The following is a 17,451-nucleotide window of genomic DNA, read 5'->3' as shown; positions in this document are numbered from 1 at the left end:
TTAAAACAAAGAGCAGTGCCTAGGTTTCACCCTCGGAGTGAGTTAAGTGGTCTGAGATAGGAACTAAGTATCAGTATTTTAAAAGTTACATTTATCTATAAACACATATAGTTGTGTAACTATATCAAGAAACAGTGCCCCTTGGTAGTCAACCTTTCCCGCATTCCCAGGCAACTACTTATCTGTTCTCTTCTCTTTCCCAGAATGTAATACAAATGGAATCTTATTATCTACACTTTTGAGTCTTGCTTCTTTCACTTAGTGTAACGCCTCTGAGATTCGTCCACACTGTTGCATTATCGGCAGTTTGTTATATTTTATTGCTGAGTAATATTGAAGGTAGTAGGGGTGGAGCACAGTTTATCCATTCCCTAGTTGTTTTTTTTCCCAGTTTTTGGTGAATATTAATAAAGCCACTACAGGCCAGGTGTGGTGGCTCACGCCTGTAATCCTAACACTTTGGGAAGCCGAGGCAGGTGGATCAGCTGAGGTTAGGAGTTCAAGACCAGCCTGGCCAACATGGTGAAACCCACCTCTACTAAAAAGACAAAAATTAGCCAGGCGTGGTGCCGCATGCCTGTAATCCCAGCTACTCGGGAGGCTGAGGCAGGAAAATCACTTGAACCCGGGAGGCAGAGGTTTGGGGAGCCGGGTTCACGCCATTGCACTCCAGCCTGGGCAAAAAGAGCGAAACTCCATCTCAAAATATAAAAACAAAAAAAATAAAGCCACTAGAAACATTCACATACAAGTTTCTGCGAGAACATAAGCTTTCATTAATCTTGGGTAAATACCTAGAAATAGGATCACTGGACAAGTATATATTTGACTCTTAGAAACCACCAGTTTTTCAAAGTGGAGGTACCATTTTATATTCACACTTGAATGTTGAGGAGTTCCAGTTATTCTGCATGCTTGCCAGCACTTGGTATCATCAAGTCTTATTTCAGCAATTGTATTAAGTATGTATCCGTCAATATATTTTTTAAAGTCTTTACTAAAGCGGAACATGCAAACATAAACGTGCACAAATCATAAATGTACCAACTCGATGAACAGTCACAAAATGAACATCTTAGTGTAACTACCATAAGGTCAAAAACAAAACAAACCCCACATTATCAGCATCCCAGAAACCCCTGTGTGTCTCCTTCTAGTCAGTAGCCACCTTGGCAATAAAGTGACTACTATCCAGATTTAACAGCACATGTAAATTTTGCCTGGTTTTAAACATTGTATAAATGGCATCATATAATATGTATTCTTTTGTGTCTGTCTTCTTTCACTCAATTTTTTTTTTTTTTTTTTTTTGAGACAGAGTCTCGCTCTGTCCCCCAGGCTGGAGTGCAATGGCCTGATCTCGGCTCACTGCAAGCTCCGCCTCCCAGGTTCATGCCATTCTCCTGCCTCAGCTTCCAGAGCAGCTGGGACCACAGGCACCCGCCACCACGCCTGGCTAATTTTTTATATTTTTAGTAGAGACGGGGTTTCACCATGTTAGCCAGGATGGTCTCGATCTCCTGACCTCGTGATCCGCCCGCCTCGGCCTCCCAAAGTGCTGGGATTACAGGCGTGAGCCACAGCGCCCAGCCTTCTTTCACTCAATATTATGTGAGGTTTATCCATGTTATTAGATATAGTAGTTCATTCATATTCACTATAGTATAGTGTTTCAATATAAGATTATTCCACAATTTATCCATTCTACTGTTGATGGACATTTGGGCTGTTTCCCGGGGAGTGAAAATACTGTGTCAAGAGCTATATGTATGTTCAACTTTAATGAATAATGCCAAATAATTTCCCAAATTGTACCAATTTACACTCCCAACAGAAGGGTAAGAACATTCTATCACTCCATATCCTTACCAATACCTGGCATCACTAGTCTTCAATTTTAGCCACTCTGGTGAATGTGTAGAGGTATTCCATTATGGTTTTAATTTAAATTCCCCAGATTATTAATGAGGTTGAACAACTTTTCATTGGATAGAACCTTTTGTGAAGTGCTTGTCTCTTGCTCATTTTTAAATAGGGCATATCTGTCTTTTTCTTATTGGAGTTCTGCAGATACCTCAGTATAAACCCTTCATTGACTATAATGTGTAGCAAACATCTTCCTCTGAGTTTGCCTTTTACTCTCTTAATGGTGTTTTTTGACGAATGAACGCTTTTATTGTACTACCATCAGTATTTTTAAAAAGTGCCCCAGGTGAGAGTAAAAACTGGAAACAGGGTTGATAACCACTGCTCTAGTTGCTGGAGGACCAGAAGCTGAACTGTCCCAAACAGCAAACTTTGTTCACGTAAGAGTACACTCAACAGGGACTTCAAATGCCAGAGTCTGCAGAAGAACAAAGGTAGGAATCACCAGGCAGCAGGTGAAAAGCAACAGGAGAGGAGGGTAAGAATGGGAAAGGCTCAAGTAAGACGTGACTGAACCTCTAAGGCATTTCATACTGTGACTTTAAAACAACCAATTTTCTGAAAGAGCTGGATACCAATACAAAGGACGGGCCATCTGAAAAGCTTATGAATTGACCAAAACCTACACAACTAGAACCATCCTCATACTGTGTGCAGACTTAGCTGTCCTCCAAGGTTTTTTTCTATATTTTAAGCCAATTTTAAACCAAAATAACATTTCTTGCAATTTTTGTATCTATACTTAAGCTCTCACTTTCTGGCCATTCCAGCAGATAAGAGAATGCAGCTCTGAGTTTTTAACTTGTTAGAAACACCTATCTCTTGAAAAAGATTTGGCAAATGACTTCAAACACAACCACAGCAATAATACCCTACAGCTGAAATTCAGGTCTCTTATCAGCAGAAGAGGGCTGCCATGGCATCATGCCAGGAGGAAGCCAGAAAGGGGGCATCTGTAGTCAAAAGAAAAGTGCAGGGGGCAGGGGGGATTTACTTGTAAGAATTGTTCCATCAAAACACCCCAGTCCTAGCTTCTCTTAAAATTAAATCAGTTATCTCACAAACAATCACAGCTAAAAAGTTTAAACAGGTTGTTAAGAAACCTATCTTTCCTCTCTATTGCCTGACTGAGACCTGAGAAGAATCATATGATAACAGCAACCCTAGAAGGAAGGGTACAAAGCAAACACTGGAGAGTGAGCCCGGAGCACAGTCATGATCTGATCTTGCACAGGCTGCCTCTGTATCCCTGTGGTTGAAATTCAAATAACACTGAAGTTGATCAGCTGTTGGCTTCCCAACCTATGAAAATCTGCTAATCCCATAAGTGGATCACATCTACACTGCACATAATTAAGAAAAGCAGCAGCAGAGAACTCACCTCTATAATATTGTAATCCTAACTCTCATACAGCCTACTCTGATGAGGAAAACATCTTTTCCTAAGCTGTTTTGATATACGCTATTACAGAGGCTTTAAAACCTTGCAGCTATATTTTAAATATGCATAATTAATTGTTTGACGTCATAAAGCCAGTATAGCAAATTGCTTACATACTTTACTGATACTTGACACAGGGCATAGCAGAGAAACTTAAGTCCTGGCTCATTATAGAGAAGGCTTTGGGCAAGACAGTTTATCTCTCTGGGCCTCAGATTCATCTGTCTACATAAGGGGTTAAAGTAGATAATCTCAGTGCCAATTTTTATCCTGCTCATGGTGCCTTGCTAAAAGTGCTGAACTGATTTACTTAGCATTTATGTACTGTCTCCTTCAATACAGTGCCAACTCAACTTAATTCTAGAGCAGGAAGATACTTTCCAACAGCTTAAATCTAGCAGTTTTATGCACGCAATATGAGGATGGCAGGCAGACCTGTGGGATACCCTCCCTTCTAATGGTACCTTTAAAATCCTAACTGGGGCAGTGAAGCAATATGAAATGGCACTTAAAGACATGTTATACTTCCTAAACATTAACTGTTTATGTTAGAATTTCTCTCACCTCATAGTCTGTATTTTCATCACATTCCTCGGTGCTTGTATATCTGCACTTTAGGTATCTTCTTTTCTTTTTGATAGCGACAGGGCTTCACTATGTCAGCCACACTGGAGTGCAGTGGCTATTCACAGGTGCAATCCCTTTGTTGATGAGCACAGCAGTTTTGACCTGCCCTCCTTCCAACCTGGGTCAGTTCACCTCTCCTTAGACAAACTGGTGGTCCCCTGCTCCCAGGAGGACACCATATTGATGCCGAACTTAAGGCAGACACCAGAATGGCATAGCACACTATAACCCAGAATTCATGGGCTCAAACAATCCTCTGGCCTCAGCTTCTCCAGTAGTTGGGACTACAGGCATGTGCCACCACACCCAGCACATTAGGTACTTTCTAATTGCTGGGCTTCATATACTATTGCACCTCCCTCAATATATTTACCACTAAACTAGTGGTTTTCAAATTTGTTTAAAGGAGAAAAACCCATTATTCAAAGGAAATCTTCGGAACACCAATATTTAAAACATGTTTTAAAGGCCAGGGGAGGTTGCTCAGATTGAAAGGAGTGAGGAAGGAAAGGAGCTAAGCGCAATCAGATCAGTTTCTCCCTCCTCCCCTTGTCCACTGAGCCATAAGTGTACTCCAGAAGCGTCAGCAGATTCTGCAGATTCCCAGGGTCTCTGGGAGCTTCACCTCAAACAGGCTTATTTGCCCAGTAACTTAGTCTAGTTTCTGGAATAGGACCTACTACCCCAATTCAGGTATTCTCTTCAAGTTAACAAACTTTAACCCAAATCAAGAGAAATTATTTTAGCATAATCGAATCTCTGGCAGCATATGGAAGTGGCTGCCTCTGGAAAAGGGAACTGGATGGCTAGGAAAGAAGAAGTTATACTTTTGAATTTTATACCATGAATTACCTATGCAAAAAAAAAAAAAAGTAATTTAAAAACAAATAAAAGTCATTAGGCTTCTGTGAATTCCTGTACCTTGTTGTCCATAATTGTCCATTGGCCCTCAGGATTCTGCTTCAAAACACAGTGGTTTCGAGAAATCATCAGGGGGCAGATTTTTGATACCAGTTGGTATGTGACACCAAATCCTCGTCCTACAGTCACCTGGGAGACAACAACAATGCAAGAAATACCATCAGTCATTGTGCTGAAAAGGGAGGTCCTTTACAAATCTCATCAACCAGCAGCATATGCAGGTCCTGACTTAAGAAACCAGACACCTGTGGAACCAAAACAGTGCATCAGCTATCTCCTCTTCAGCTGTCTTGAGAACCACCAAGTAGAAAAAGGCAAACGGTTGTGACAACAAGAGAAAGCTGAAAAAGAGTTATCCATGTATCTCAGGGTTGCCAAGATCTTGAAAGGTCATCTGGTTCAATGACTATGAGATAGAGGAATTCTTTCTACACATCCCATCAACGCATAAATACTGTCAGTAACTTTACATAAGGCAGGCCCTCCAATTTTTAAAATGTCTCTGACTTGGCATTTTTCTCCTTGTAAATTCCATCCATTGGCCCTGGCTTTGCCCTGGGCACCATCGGGAAATCTCCAATCCCCTTTCAATGGCACAGATATAAAGTGAACACTGAGTTTTCTCTTTTCCTGGTTCTGTATTCCCAGTTACTTCAACTTAACTCCCAGGGGATGGGCTTGAGCCTTTGCCATTCTAATGAGTCTGTGAAGGGACTGCTGGTTTATCTTTATTCCTGGATGGCATATTAAGAAAAATAAACTTAATTTCTATTACACAGTCAAACGCAAGTGTTACTTTCCCAGTTCTAGATATTATCACTGGAGCATATAAATTGCATTAGCTTTCATAGCAGATCTAGTACACTGCCAGTGTATCCTCGAACTTAGGAATGATTAAATTTCTTGGTCTCCCCCTCCTCCAAGAAATGCTATCCTAAGTCCTGTCTCTTCTGCTCTATACTTGACTGGATGGAAAACCTTGGATTCAAGCGCAGGACCTTAGATTGATTCCTATTAAATTTCATCTTGCTAGTTCAGCCTATCAAACCAATTTGTCAAGACCTTTCTGAATTTTTAATCTGCCATCAGATCAGACATACTTAATATCTCTTCCACCAAATTTATGAGATGATGCCTTCTATACCTTCGTTCAAGACACAGAATGGGATGCAGCCAAAGGCAAAGTTTTCAGGAAAACCTAGTAAACATTAACCCACACCATCTGGATATACCTTCAGCCAGTTATAATTCAACCAAAAGTCTTTGCATTGGAGTACATATTCTCTGTCTTATCCACAAGAACAGCTTGAGAGCTTCCGGAAAAGGTTGAAAAGAAGCCCCAGTTCACATCTATCATACTTTCCTGTTGGACCAGTCTAGTTCATAACAACCCTGTGAAGGAAGGAAATGAAATTCTTCTGAGTTCCAGATCACAGAATTCCCTTATTCTTTTTTGTTTGTTAATTTTTTTTTGTTTTTTTGAGAGAGTCTTGCTTTATCACCCAGGCTGGAGTGCAGTGGCACGATCTTAGCTCACTGCAACCTCTGCCTCCCGGGTTCAAGCAATTCTCCTGCCTCAGCTTCCACGTAGCTGGGATTACAGGCACGCACCACCACACCCAACTAATTTTTGTATTTTTAGTAGAGACGGGGTTTCACCATGTTGGTCAGGCTGGTCTCGAACTCCTGATCTCAAGTGATCTGCCTGCCTCAGCCTCCCACAGTGCTGGGATTACAGGTGTGAGCCACCGCGCCCGGCTCCCTGCATATTCTTCTTAGTGCACAAACGACCTCTTTAATGTCCCATATCACAACCTTAACTGGGAACTTTAAACCAAAGTTAGCTAAAACTGCCCTCTTCTCTTCTCTTTAAAATCTTTCAGAATGCCTGTCCTCCTCAGTCCCTCAAAGACCACCACGACTCACTGACCTAATCTATTCCTCCCCACAAACTCTTATCTCAGTATTCACAATACTATCCAACCAACTACTCAACCCATAACCCAGAAGCCATCTTTGATTCATCTCTGTCCCTCATCCCCACATTGAAATCACTGGTAAATTATATGGGCTATAATTCAAATATGTCCTAAGTCTGTTCATTCCTATCTCTGCAGCCACAGCCTTAGTCCAAACCACCTGGCCTCCTACTGTTTCTGTTCTCACTCTAGCCCCCATAAGCTTTATAATAGTAACTGGAATAGAAATGTAAAAATTTTAAATCAGGTCATTTTCCTTCTTTCCTTAAAACTGTCCAATCATTCAAACTTCCTTCCATGGCCTATAAGACCCTGAATGTCCTGAGCCCTTCTACTCTTTAGTCTTAACTCATACCATAGTGCCAACACTAGCTGCTCCAGCCCCTCAAACTTTTTTGTTGTTGTTGTTCCTTAAGCCCATCTCCCCGAAGTGCCAGCCTACCTGAGGGTCTTTTCACTTAGCCCCTCTGCTAAGAACACTCTTCTCTCAGATCTTGCACAGGCTCCTTATCTTTCATGTTCCAGCTACTCATAAGCCTACTCTGATTACCTCTGTCTAAAGTTGGTTGTCTGCTTCCCATCATATTTCTTCAGTTATTAGGAAGTACTTATCACAGACCAAAATTATCTTGTTTATTTTACTTTTCCCCTCTGTCCCCGTAATAGAATATAAATTAGATAAGCAGGGACTTTATCTGTCTTGTTTACCACTGTGTTTCTATACCTGGCATAGTGTTCAGTTAAGTATTTGAGAATGAATGAAAGAATAAAGAGGTCTTGCATATGAGTCCTCAAGATTTTAGGGTGGGTGTTTTTAGGTCAGAAGTTAGAGACTGTATTACCATTGGAAAATATGGAGCAGCAGTTGGAACTCATACAGTCTCACTTGTTTCTCTTTAAAATGTTGTGGTGATCACTCCACCAACACTGAGCACAAAGTTTTTCAGTTCTTTCACACTCTGCCAGAATTATATTAATTATAGAAGTTCCTCTGAATACACATATCTGTTAAAAATGGAATGGCTAGGGATTTATCTGTCGTCCATATTCAGTAAAATTTCTATTTAGGTAGCTTTATCTCTAAGAGAGGAAGCATCTCATATTACATGCTAATACTTGAGGGGAGACAGCCAGACTGCCATTGTGAGTAGCCAGGGGAAAACAGTACCAAAACAGTAGAAGAGTGCCTTTTCCTGACATTGCCTCCAACAGACTCTGAACCCAGAAAAAGGAATCATTCTTTTACATCCTTCCCTGCACTGCCTGGTCTTAGAATTTACCTTGGTACTACTGATATTTCACCTATACTGTAGTTAAAGAGTGCAGTGAGGTTACCTGGAAATCTCAGGACCACTCAACATAACACTGAATTTCCCGTGGGAACTGACTGACGACCCATATGTGAGGGGTTGTTTTCATTTACAATAGTTTTGCAAGCCTTTGAGCTTACACACATTATTGATCTAAAAGATCATCCTGTCTTTGCCCACCTTCACTAAGACTATCTCTTTCCTCCTGGGCACAATTCCTACTGTTTCTCAAATAACAAGTAAATCTGGCCAGGTGTGGTGGCTCACACCTGTAATTCCAGCACTTTGGGAAGCCCAGGCGGGCGGATCACATGAGGCCAGGAGTTCGAGACCAGCCTGGCCAACATGGCGAAACCCCACCTCTATTGAAAACACAAAAAGTAACTGGGCATAGTGGTGCATATCTGTAATCCCAGCTACTTCGGAGGCTGAGACAGAAGAACCACTTGAACCAGGGAGGTGAAGGTGTGATCACACCACTGCACTCCAGCCTGGGTGACAGAAGGAGTACTCTGTCTCAAAACAAAACACCCCACAAAAAAGCCCCCAAACCAGTAAATATAACCATCCTTTCCCTTTTTTCCCTTGGGGCAGAAAACTTAATGAAAACTAAATACAAGAGAAGAAAAGGGGAGAGAAGGTTCTGTTGTTTTCCCCAAAGGCCTAGATACTTTATAGTACCTGAGAACTAGCTAATTTGCAATAAATCTCTACTTGTTTTTCCACCAAACTCTATGCATTGCTTTAACAAGCTTAAAGCCACTTAATTAGACAATTTACTACAGTGTTCCCATCAATGAAATGAAAGGAACCCTGTTTTATTATTTTATCCACAACATCTGAGACTAAGAACTGGAAAGGCAGGGAACTGACCTACCTTTGCTGTTATGTTATTAGCGTATCTTTTAAAATCTTGTGCAAAACAGCTTGTGCTATGATTTGGGGACCATAACAATAAGTACAACTTCTTCTCTTGCCTTTGATTCAGACTTCTTTTCAGGCTATGCTACGACCTGACCTTGCAGGCAGCCAAGCCTGGCAGGCTTCTCCTACACACAGGTCCCTGAAGCCAGCCACAGTCTTACCACTGAGTTTATATGGGTCCCTCCCCATGCAACTGGCCCCATAAAGAACTATCAAATGGTTTAGAATATGTCTAAGACTGCTTTATAGTCTTCTTGCCCTTTCTTCAGGTGCTTTAATTCGTCCTCCCCATCCCACCTGCCCAAGACTGCAGTACTGACAAGCTATTCAGAAGTCATAAATTAATCCACAACAATTGAATCTAAAGGAATAACACTTGCCCACTGAGTTATCTTATGAGGTTGTGTGTATGCAGGGATCAGATTAAGTAATGTATGTGAAATTAACTAATAGTTATGCACAAAAATAATTTATTTTTGTGTGTATTATTCAGGTTATTATTCAGGTGTTCGTGTTTTAATTTGTTAAACTTCCCACAAACATATGCTGTTGGAAAGGGCCAGGCAGGGAAAGATCAGTGCTCAAGCTAAAAGAATGAATGCTTAATGTGGACTTTTAGGCACTAATACCTGGATAGAAGAGGTATTTGGAGGCAGAGATGTTTTCTTGGTGTTCCTCAAACCACAGCATACAAGTAACCCTTTATAACACTCCCTAATCTAGCAATTAAATTTGTGCCTAGACATGAATTCCTCCTCTGACTTGAAGAACTACTGCTCTGGGAAGGAACTAAATAATCCAAATCTTAGCACTTGATCATACAGCCCATATGGATGTTCTTTATACGATGACTGCTTCATTGTATAAATCCTCTCTCCCCACTCAAGCCTTAAACTCTTCGAGCGCAGAAATTTTATTTGTCCTCATTGTACACCAAACAATGTTAAATACTCAGTAAATACCTGGCAGACTGAATTGAGGCAGTACGGCTTATAGGAAAAATCTACCTGAACACACATGAGACTCAAAATACTTCTTGAATTTACATCATGACCAACCATCCACTTTTACTGCAAAGAGAACTTTTCATACAGATTATTTCCAAAACCCAAATGGTTCCCAGTCATCACAAGCTTGTCCCTGACCCAGTTCTCCTTCTCAACCTGATTGCAATCTAACTCCCTCCTCCCTTCCCTCGTCTTTTCAAGATGCACCACGCTGGTGCATCTTGAACCGTGCCAGGAACGGTACCTCATCTTTCCCCTTAAAATATTTTTCATTTGCAACTGCATTAATAAAGACGACAGGCAGCCTCTGGAGAGAACTCTGAATACCTGCCCGACCCACCTCAGGGAGTGCCACTCGGCCGTACCGAGCCTCACAGGAGAAATGTGGCCCAGCCCAAGCCGCCCATGTTCCTCAGAGTTGGGAAGGAGGAAGACATTTCTACGTGAAAGTTTGATTGCTTTAAGGGACAAAACCCAAAATTTGCAATCGTTTTCAAAACAAACTCGAGAAAGTTCAGGCGCCGGGCCCTGCCTCGGCTTCCCGGCAGCTCGCGGCCCCCGCCACCGTTCCCCGACCTGGCACCGCGGGGCTCTGTGCGCCCTAAACGGGATCTGGCCAGCCCCCGCCCTCCCCTCCTCGACACCCCCGCATCTCCTCACGTTCCCTGCGCGTCCCTCTCCTCCCAGTCCCCGGCCCAGCTACCCGCTGACCCAGGCCTCTCTGGACGGGGCCCGCTTCTCGCCCCACAGGCCGCGGGTCAGGGCCTCCGTCCTCGCCCCAACCCTTGTGGCCCCCCCGGGCTCCCCAGAGCCGAACTCTCTTTTCTTCCTTTCTCCCACTCGGCCCCTATTTCTCCCCCAAACACCTCCCACCGCAGACCCTTCAGCCGCTCGCGCCAGAACCGCTTTCTCCCTTCTCTCCCCAGGAATCCACCCCCCCCACAGACACTTCGCTCCTCTTCCTGATGCCCGCCTCCTCTCTGCCATTCATTCAGCCCAGCAAGACACCTTCCTCCCTCCCCGGAGCCCCGCTCCCTCCAGCCCCTGCCCTCCGCTCCACAGGACCCCTTCCCCCGTACCTCGCACCCATCTTCCAGCAGCAGCCACCCGGCGCTCATCCCCACCCGCCGCAGGCACCAGCTCCGGCCACCGGCGCGGTCTCCTGTGACGAAGAAGCCGGGCTCCCCCATCGCCTACTCGACCCCGGGGGCGGTCAGCACCGAGCGAGACCCTGACCTAGGTTCTGGCTGCCTCTGTGCATCCCCTCAGCTTCCATATCTAAATAACAGACAGAAGCAATCGCCACACGCTCGCGATCGCTGCGAAAGCAGGCTCCGCTCGCCCGCCCTCGGCCAGGAAGCAGGAGCACTACGCCTGCGCAAGAGGACGGCGGCCGCCCTGGAGCAAAGAGGGTGGGTTGGGAGCCAATCCGGCCCTGGGCGGGGCGGGCGCGATTCGAGAGGTCTCCTCGCCTCACACCTTCCCTCGCCGCCTCCAGAACCATCACCCCAGTCCTAGCCGCCCCAGACTGGAACCTCTTCTCACCTTTCCTCTTTTTAAAAAAGTCATGTGAAACTATAGCCCACTTTTAAACAACTTTAAACTTTCCATCGGATTTAAGTCTGCCTAGTCTGTTGCTAAATAGTCTCTATTTTGCACGACCTACTTATATTACCGAAGTAAAAAATAAATTACACTAGGCAAATCTACAAAGACAAAGAGCACAGTTACCTGGGGCGAGGTGTGGGAGCGGGTATTGAATGCAGATGGGCTTGAAAAAATTGGAGGAAAGCGGTAATAGAAATGTTCTAAAAGTGGATTGTGGTGACAATTGTACAACTGTATAAGTTTATTAAAAAGTCATGGAAGTGTGGCCGGACGCAGTGGCTCACGCCTGTAATCCCAGCACTTTGGGAGGTCGAGACGCGCGGATCACTTGAGTTCAGGAGTTGTGACCAACCTGGCCACATGGGGAGACACCGTATCTACAAAAAAAAAAAAAAAAAAAGGAGGAAGGGAGGGAGAGAAAGGAAAAAAGAAAAAAAAGAAAAATTAGCTAGGTGTGGTGGTGCACACCTGTAGTCCGGCTACTTGGGAGGCTGAGGTGGGAGGATCACCTGACCCCGGGAGGCAGAGGTTGCAGTGAGCCGACATGGCGCCACTGCATCCCAGCCTGGGCGACAGAGTGAGACCCTGTAAAGTGAAGAAAGTGTAAACTTCCAGTGGGTGAATTTTATGGCATGTAAATTATACTCAATAAAGCTGTTAATTTTATTATTATTATTACTGATTACAGACAGGGTCTCGCCCTGTCACCCAGGCTGGAGTGCAGCCTGGAGTGGTGCGATCTCAGCTCACTGCAACCTCCGCCTCCCGGGTTCAAGAGATTCTCCTGCCTCAGCCTCCAGAGTAGCTGGGATTACAGGCACGCGCCACCACGCCCGGCTAATTTTTATATTTTTTGGTAGATACCGGGTTTCGCCGTGTCTCCTGGATTCAAGTGATCCAACCGCCTCAGCCTCCCAAAGTGCTGAGATTACAAGCATGAGCCCCCGAGCCCGGCCAATTAAAAAATTGTTTTTAAACTCAGCCTCTCCTTTGGATTTTCCATATAGTGTGATAGCTGCTGCCTGCAGTGAGTACATCCAATGGTTGAGCCCCTTTTGTCTTTTCAGTTTTCCAACACCCAGTTAACAATTTCTTTCTTCTTTCTTTCCTTCCTTCCTTCTCTTTCTTTCTTTTCTTTTTTCTTTCTCTTTTCTTCTTTCTCTCTCTTTCTTTCTCTCCTTCCTTCCTTCCTTCCTCCCTTCTTCCTCTCTTTTTTTTTTTTTTTTGCACAAGGGGAAAGAAGGAAAACAATTTTCCTAAATAAAATTCTGTCAAAAAACCAGCCGGGCTGGGCATGGTGGCTCATGCCTGTAATCTCAGCACTTTTGAGAGGCCGAGGCAGGCGGATCACCTAAGGTTGGGAGTTCAAGACCAGCCTGACCAACATGGAGAAACACCGTCTCTACTAAAAATACAAAGTTAGCCCAGCGTGGTGGCGTGTGCCTGTAATCCCAGCCACTCAGGAGGCTGAGCCAGGAGACTCGCTTGAACCCAGGAGGCAGAGGTGGCGGTGAGCCGAGATCTCGCCATTGCACTCCAGCCTGGACAACAAGAGTGAAACTCCATCAAAACAACAACAACAAAAAAAACAAAAACAAAAACAAAAAACACACACACAGCCAAGTGTGGCGGCTCACGCCTGTAATCCCAGCACTTTGGGAGGCCGAGGCAGGTGGATCACCTGAGGTCAGGGGTTCCAGACCAGCCTGGCCAACATGGTGAAACCCTGTCTCTAGTAAAAATACAAAAATGATCTGGGCATGGTGGTGAGCACCTGTAATCCCAGCTACCAGGGAGGCTGAGGTGGGAGGATCCCTTGAGCCTGGGAGGCAGAAGTTGCAGTGAGCTGAGATCACACCACTGTACTCTAGCCTGGGTGACTGAGCAACACTCTGTCTCAAAAACAAATACACAAACAAAACAACAAGAAAAGAAAATACATACACTAAATGAATTACACAGTGTACAATAGTAAATAGCTAACATTTACTGAGTGCTAAGTGCCAGGTACTAGGCGAAGCACCCTACATACTTTATTTGTCCTTTGCAAACAGAAAGAAAAAAGAAAAATTAGCCAGTTATTAGTGGTTACAATTATAATCCCTATGTTAGAGATGATGAGAAAAGAGGCACAGAGAGGTTTTGGTAATCTTCCCAAAGTAACAAATGAAATGGCAGAGTAGGATGTCAATTCAAGTCTGTTTCAAAAGCCTAGTTTCCTAACCATGGGTGCAATCCCAACCTGGAACATTTTATCTGTGTTGTGCAGTCAGATCAAGAAATGCAGGCCCTGACATCACAGAGGGCCAGGAACTTTGGTGAAAGTCATAGCTGCACTCATGGAGATGCTTCCCTAAGCTGTGCATAGGTATCTGTTGGTGCCCCCACCCCACCTTAGCATTCTACCCCAGGAACAGCAAGCACACCTAGAAGCCACCCTGACATTTAGTCTGTGTGTCTCCTTAGGCTCCTCTTGGCTGTGATAGATTCTCAGACTTTCCTTGTTTTTGATGACCTCGACAATTTGAGGAGTACCAGACAGATATTTTGTAGAATGTCCCTCAACTGGGATTTGTCTGATGTTTTTCTCATGATTAGACTGGGGTTATGGATTTGGGGATGGAAGACCACATAGGTAAAGTGTCATTCTCATGGCATCATATCCAGGGTACGTGTTATCAACATGAACTATCATTGTTGGTGTTCATCTCGATCACCTGGCATTTCTTATTTCTTGATATGACAGTACCACACAGATAAAACGTTCCAGGTTGGGATTGCAACCATGGTTAGGAAATTAGGCTTTGGAAATCTAGGTAGTGTTTGTCAGGTTTCTCCACTGTAAACTTACTTTTTTTTTTGAGACAGAGTTTCACTCTTGTTGCCCAGGCTGGAGTGCAATGGCTCAATCTCGACACACTGCAACCTCCGCCTCCTGGGTTCAAGCGATTCTCCTGCCTCAACCTCCCGAGTAGCTGGGATTACAGGCATGAGCCACCACGCCCGGCTTATTTTGTATTTTTAGTAGAGACGGGGTTTCACCATGTTGGCCAGGCTGGTCTTGAACTCCTGACCTCAGATGATCTGCCCACCTTGGCCTCCCAAAGTGCTGGGATTACAGGCGTGAACCACTGTGCCAGGCCTTTTTTTTTTTTTTTTTTTTTTTTGAGATGGAGTCTCACTCATTGGCCCAGGCTGGAGTGTAATGGTGTAATCTCAGCTCACTGCAACCTCCACCTCCCAGGTTCAAGCAATTCCCCTGCCTCAGCCTCCTGAGTAGCTGGGACTACAGCTGCATGCTATTATGCCTGGCTAATTTTTGTATTTTTAGTAGGGATAGGGTTTCACTATGTTGGCCAGGCTGGTCTCGAACTCCTGACCTCAGGTGATCTGCCCACCTTGGCCTCCCAAAGTGCTGGGATTACAGGCGTAAGCCACCACGCCCAGCCTAAACTTACTCGTTTTTTTTCTCGTTTTCCACACTGTACTCTTTGGAATGAAGTCACTATTCCTGGGCCAAATTTAAGGAGTGAGGAATTATGCTCCATTTCCTTAACTGCAGGTTCTCTACAGAAACTGTATGGAATTCTGCACAGGAGTTTGTCTCTCCTCCCCTGTTGATTTATCAACAGCACTTTGGGAGGCCAAGATGGATGGATCACTTGAGCCCAGGAGTTCAAGATGGGCCTGGGCAACATAGCAAGACCCCCCGCTCTACAAATAATAAATTAAAAATTTAGCTGTGTGTGGTGGCATGCACCTGTGGTCCCAGATACTTGGGAGGCTGAGGCAGGAGGATTGCTTGAGCCCAAGAGGCCAAGGCTGCAGTGAGCCACTGCACCCTAGCCTGGGTGACACAGTGAGACCTGTCTGAAAAATAAATAAGTAAAATGAAAAATATATCAGTGTGAACCCATGGATATTTATTTTATACTTTGGGTTATAATCTCATACTGCTTTATTTTGTTTCTCAGATTGTTCCTACTTTGGCCATTGAGAGCTCTTTCAGGTGGCTATGGTGTCCTTTTGACATACTCTCGTTGTGTTTTGCTAAGTACTTCCTTACTTTCTGGCACAAGATACCCTAGACCTAGAATTAGCTATTTCTCCAAGGATCTCTGGTTCCTTTATTGGAAAATGGTATTAGAAACCAAGAAACTCTGGGCACTAGGTGCAGTCATTGCTAGTGGGATGTCATTGTTTCTAGGCCTTCTCAGCTGACAGAGCAAATAAATATATGGGTGAATACTAACCCTTGATATACACATATTTATAAATATTTATGCATATATACACATTTGTGTTGTGTGTGTGTGTGTGTGTATCTGTAAGCTAGGCATGAGTTCATTCTGATGTCTTACCACTCTAATCCATTCCCACCTGAATCATTCTAGCTATCTCCCCTTGTTTATCTGTAAACTTCTACTTCAAAAGTGAGAACCCAGAATCCCACCATCTGCCATCCCTTGACTTAATCTTTCATTTCCAGTATACATGTATAGTGATTTCAGAATTGTTAAGCCATACACCTTATGGAGACAACTTTATCACTACAGTACAGTACTTGTATGCAGGTCTTTTGCCTTCAGTCTCACAGACTCCACTCATGTCCAAAGTGGCTGAGGTCAGCACCCATTTCCCTCAACCCCCTTCAGAGAGGTTGTTTCATACATTTGTAATACAGTTAGATTGTTTTGTCATAGTCTATTCTATGTGGAATCCTCTGACCTGCTAAATGATTGCTTAGAATTTGTATACATTTTACATTAACAATTGACTAATGTACACATTAAGGTTAATATATACATTAAGATTCACCCTTACTGCAAAGTTCTATGGGTTTTGATAGATGCATGGTGTCATGTATCCACCATTACAGCATCAGAGAAAATAATTTATCGCCTGAAAAAAAAAATCCTCCGGGCTTCACCTATTCAGTCCCACTCCCACCTACCGTACCTCACTTGTTTTATTTAACTAAGTATCCTGGAGATTACTCCATAACAGTATATATATACATATTTCTCCTTTCTTTCTCTCTCTCTCTTTTTTTTTTTTTTTTTTTTTTTGAGACGGAGTCTTACTCTGTCACCAGGCTGGAGTGCAATGGCATGATCTTGGCTCACTGCAACCTCTGCCTCCCAGGTTCAAGCGATTCTCCTGCCTCAGCCTCCTGAGTAGCTGGGATTACAGGCATGCGCCACCATGCCCAGCTAAGTTTTGTATTTTTAGTAGAGACGGGGTTTCACTATGTTGGCCAGGCTGGTCTCAAAACTCCTGACCTTGTGATCCGCCTGCCTTGGGCTCCCAAAGTGCTAGGATTACAAGCGTGAGCCACTACGCCCAGCCTCTCTTTTTAAAATTTAATAATAATAATAAAAAAATCCCTCAGGCTCCCAAAGTGTTGGTGTGAACCACCACGCCCGTCCCTCCTTCCTCTTGACAGCTGTATATTACTCTATTGTGTAGATGTTGATGGCTGTTGTGAGACCTCAGTTCTTGTCTTCTTAGTTTAAAAGAATTTAAACAAGAGACACACAGTAGGAGATGCAACATAGAGCAATTTATTGCAAAGGAAAAAGAATATTTTGAAAGTTAAATGCAGAAGAGACAGTCCACCCTGAGAAAGGATTCAAGGCGGGACAGCCAAGACTGGCACTAGGGAGACTCCCTTTACGGGAGACTTAACATGGATTATTCATAAAGGA

The 17,451-nt window shown here is 43.9% G+C and overlaps 1 protein-coding gene and 1 pseudogene across 3 annotated transcripts in view, besides 2 other annotated features; both read right to left on the bottom strand.

Annotated features, from left to right (window-relative positions):
- The window catches only part of RNF8 (ring finger protein 8), a 40,752-nt gene extending 29,245 nt beyond the window's left edge, over positions 1-11,507 (bottom strand). For all 3 annotated transcript variants that reach the window (NR_046399.2, NM_003958.4, NM_183078.3), the window contains exons 1-2: positions 11,215-11,507; positions 4,916-5,044 (exon numbers count right to left, since the gene is read on the bottom strand). Coding sequence is in view for 2 of the 3 variants with exons in the window: in NM_003958.4 (NP_003949.1) it covers positions 4,916-5,044; positions 11,215-11,325 (240 nt within the window). In the remaining variant the exon portion in view is untranslated. The remainder of the gene's footprint in view (positions 1-4,915; positions 5,045-11,214) is intronic.
- RN7SL273P (RNA, 7SL, cytoplasmic 273, pseudogene) lies at positions 4,007-4,305 on the bottom strand (annotated as a pseudogene).
- Positions 11,205-11,254: an enhancer, noted in NCBI's record as "active region_24457". NCBI's record gives its function as "activates an Ori minimal core promoter by ATAC-STARR-seq in GM12878 lymphoblastoid cells {active_cell/tissue: GM12878}" and the evidence as "EXISTENCE:reporter gene assay evidence [ECO:0000049][PMID:35858748]".
- Positions 11,555-11,654: a silencer, noted in NCBI's record as "silent region_17139". NCBI's record gives its function as "represses an Ori minimal core promoter by ATAC-STARR-seq in GM12878 lymphoblastoid cells {active_cell/tissue: GM12878}" and the evidence as "EXISTENCE:reporter gene assay evidence [ECO:0000049][PMID:35858748]".

The sequence above is a fragment of the Homo sapiens genome, chromosome 6 (genome assembly GCF_000001405.40).
Source record: "Homo sapiens chromosome 6, GRCh38.p14 Primary Assembly".
In the NCBI taxonomy this organism is placed as follows: Eukaryota; Metazoa; Chordata; class Mammalia; order Primates; family Hominidae; genus Homo; species Homo sapiens.
This window is presented reverse-complemented; position numbering and strand designations above follow the sequence as displayed.